Source organism: Homo sapiens, chromosome 19, assembly GCF_000001405.40.
Source record: "Homo sapiens chromosome 19, GRCh38.p14 Primary Assembly".
In the NCBI taxonomy this organism is placed as follows: domain Eukaryota; kingdom Metazoa; phylum Chordata; class Mammalia; order Primates; family Hominidae; genus Homo; species Homo sapiens.
This window is the reverse complement of record NC_000019.10, coordinates 24,400,743-24,404,405: the sequence shown is the minus strand read 5'-3', so window position 1 is coordinate 24,404,405 and position 3,663 is coordinate 24,400,743. Positions and strand designations below refer to the sequence as shown.

General features: G+C 36.3%; 2 annotated features.

Moving 5' to 3' along the window:
• Nucleotides 1,290-1,791: an enhancer, noted in NCBI's record as "NANOG hESC enhancer chr19:24585417-24585918 (GRCh37/hg19 assembly coordinates)". NCBI's record gives its function as "activates a minimal SCP1, AML or CMV promoter by ChIP-STARR-seq in naive H9 embryonic stem cells {active_cell/tissue: H9 hESC(naive)}" and the evidence as "EXISTENCE:reporter gene assay evidence [ECO:0000049][PMID:30033119]".
• Nucleotides 2,315-2,816: an enhancer, noted in NCBI's record as "NANOG hESC enhancer chr19:24584392-24584893 (GRCh37/hg19 assembly coordinates)". NCBI's record gives its function as "activates a minimal SCP1, AML or CMV promoter by ChIP-STARR-seq in naive H9 embryonic stem cells {active_cell/tissue: H9 hESC(naive)}" and the evidence as "EXISTENCE:reporter gene assay evidence [ECO:0000049][PMID:30033119]".

Genomic DNA, 3,663 nt, shown 5'->3' with positions numbered 1-3,663 from the left:
AGTGTTTCAAAACTGCTCAATCAAAAGGAAGGTTCAACTCTGTGAGATGAATGCACACATCACAAAGAAGTTTCTCAGAATTCTTCTGTGTAGTTTTTATGTGAAGATAATTCGTTTTCCAAAATAGGCCTCAAAGCTCTCTAAATATCAACTTGCAGATTCTACAAAAGAGTGTTTTCAAACTGCTCAATCAAAAGAAGTGTTCAACTCTGTGAGGTGAATACACATATCACAAAGAATTTTGTCACAATGCTTCTTTGTAGCTTTCATGTGAAGATATTTTCATTTGCACCATAGCCCACAAAAGGCTCCACATATCCACTTGCAGATTCGACATACAGAGAGTTTCAGAACGACTCAATCAAAAGAAAGCTTCAACTCTCTGAGATGAACGCACACTTTGCAAAGAAGTTTCTCAGAATGCATCTGTGTAGTTTCTATGTGAAGACATTTCCTTTTCCAAAATAGGCCTCAAAGCGCTCCAAATATCCACTTGCAGATTCTGCAAAACGAGTGTTTCAAAATTGCTCAATCTTAAGAAAGATTCAACTCTGTGAGATGAATGCACACATCACAAGAATTTTCTCAGTACGCTTCTGTGTATTTTTGATGAGAAGATATTTCCTTTTCCACCATAGGCCTCAAAGCACTCCAAATATCCACTTGCAGATTCTACAAAAAGACTGTTTCAAAACTACTCAATCAAAAGACACTTTCAACTCTGTGAGTTGAATGCACACATCACAGAGAAGTTTCTCAGAATGCTTCTGTGTAGTTTTTGTGTGAAGATATTTCCTTTTCCAGAATAGGCCTCAAAGCACTCCAAATATCCACTTGCAGAATGTACAAAAAAGTTCTTCCAAACTGCTCAATCAAAATAAAGATTCAACTCTGTGAGATGAATGCACACATCACAAAGAAGTTTCTCAGATTACTTCTGTGTAGTTTTTATGTGAAGATGTTTCCCTTTTCCACAACAGGCCTCAAGGCGCTCCAAATATCCACTTGCAGATTCTACAAAACGAGTGTTTCAAAATTGCTCAATCAAAAGAAAGATTCAACTCTGTGAGATGAATGCACACATCACAAGAATTTTCTCAATATGCTTCTGTGTATTTTTGATGAGAAGATATTTCGTTTTCCACCACAGGCCTCAAAGCACTCCAAATATCCACTTGCAGATTCTACAAAAAGACTGTTTCAAAACTACTCAATCAAAAGATACTTTCAACTCTGTGAGTTGAATGCACACATCACAAAGAATATCTACTTGCAGAATGTACAAAAAGAGTTCTTCCAAACTGCTCAATAAAAATAAAGGTTCAACTCTGTGAGATGAATGCACACATCACAAAGAAGTTTATCAGATTACTTCTGTGTAGTTTTTATGTGAAGATGTTTCCCTTTTCCACAATAGGCCTCAAGGCACTCCAAATATCCACTTGCAGATTCTACAAAAAGAGCATTTTCAAACTGCTCAATCAAAAGAAAGATTCAACTCTGTGAGATGAATGCTCACATCACAAAGAAGTTTCTCAGAATGCTTCTGTGTAGTTTTAATTTGTAGATATTTCCTTTTCCACCATAGGCCACAAAAGGCTCCAAATATCCACTTACAGATTCTACAAAAAGAGAGTTTCAAAGCTGCTCAATCAAAAGATATGTTCAACTCTGTGAGTAGATTACACACAACACAAAGTAGTTTCTCACAATGCTTCTGTGTAGTTTCTATGTGAAGATATTTCCTTTTCCACCATAGACTGCAAATGGCTCCACATATCCACTTGCAGATTCTACAAAAAGAGAGTTTCAAACTGCTCAATTAAAAGATAATTTCAAATCTGTGAGTTGATTGCACACATCAAAATGAAGTTTCCCAGAATGCTTCTGTGTAGTTGTTATGTGAAGATATTTCCTTTTCCACCATAGGCCACAAATGTCTCCAAATATCCACTTGTAGACTCTACAAAAAGAGAGTTTCAAAACTGCTCAATCAAAAGAAAGGTTCAACTCTCTGAGATGAAGGCCCATGTCACGAAGACGTTTCTCAGAATGCTTCTGTGTAGTGTTTATGTGAACATATTTCCTTTTCCACAATTCGCCTCAAAGCACTCCAAATATCCACTTGCAGATTCCATAAAAAGAGATTTTCAAAACTGCTCAATCAAAAGAAAAGTTCAACTCTGTGAGATGAATGCACACATCACAAAGTAGTTTCTCAGAATGTTTCTTTGTAGTTTTTGTGTGAAGATGTTCCCTTTTCCTGAATAGGCCTCAAAGCGCTCCAAATATCCACTTGCAGATTCTAAAAAAAGAGAGTTTCCCCACTGCTCAAACAAAAGAAAGGATCACCTCTGTGAGATGAATGCTCACATCGCAAAGAAGTTTCTCAGCATGCCTCTTTGTAGTGTTTATGTGAAGATATTTCCTTTTCCACAATAGGCTTCAAAGCACTCCAAATATCTACTTACAGAATCTACAAAAAGAGTGTTTCAAAACTGCTCAATCAAAAGAAAGGTTCAGCTCTGTGAGATGAATGCACACATCACAAAGAAGTTTCTCAGAATGATTCTGTGTAGTTTCTATGTGAAAATATTTCCTTTTCCACTATAGGATGCAAAAGGCTCCAAATATCCACTTGCAGATTCTACAAAAAGAGTGTTTCAAACTGCTCTTTCAAAAGATAGGTTCAACTCTGTGAGTTGACTGCACACGTCACAAAGAAGTTTCTCAGAATTCTTCTCTATAGCTTTTATGTGAACATATATCCTTTTCAACCATAGGCCACAAATAGCTCCAAATATCCACTTGCAGATTCAACAAAAAGAAGTTTCAAAACTGTTCAATCAAAAATAAGGTTCAACTATGTGAGATGAATGCACACATCACAAAGAAGTTTTTCAAAATGCTTCTGTGTAGTTTTTATGTGAAGATATTTCCTTTTCCCCCATAGGCCACAAACGGTTCCAAATATCCACTTGCAGATTCTACAAAAAGAGACTTTCAAAACTGCTCAATCAGAAGATGGGTTTAAATCTGTGAGTTGATTGCACACATCACAAAGAAGTTTCTCAGAAAGCTTCTGTATAGTTTTTATGTGAAGATAGTTCCTTTTCCAGCTTAACCTTCAAAACGCTCCAAACATCCACTTGTGGAATCCACAAAAAGAGTGTTTCAAAACTGCTCAATGAAAAGATAGGTTCACCTACGTGAGTGCAATGCACACATCAAAAACAAGTTTCACAGAATGCTTCTATGTACTTTTTATGTGAAGATATTACCTTTTCCACGATAGGACTCAAAGCGCTCCAAATATCCACTTGCAGATTCTTCAAAAAGAAGTTTCCAAACCGCTCAATCAAAAGAAATCCTCAACTCTGTGAGATAAATGCACATATCACAAAGAAGTTTCTCAGAATGTTTTTGAGTAGTTTTTATGTGAAGATATTTCCTTTTCCACCATAGGCCTCAAAGCACTCCAAATATCCACTTGCAGATTCAATAAAAAGAGTGTTTCAAAACTGCTCAATCAAAAGAAGGTTTCAACTCTGTGAGATGTATGCACACATCACTAAGTAATTTCTCAGAATTATTCTGCGTATTTTTTCTGTGAAGATATTTCCTTTTCCACCATTGGCCTCAAAGCACTCCAAATATCCACAT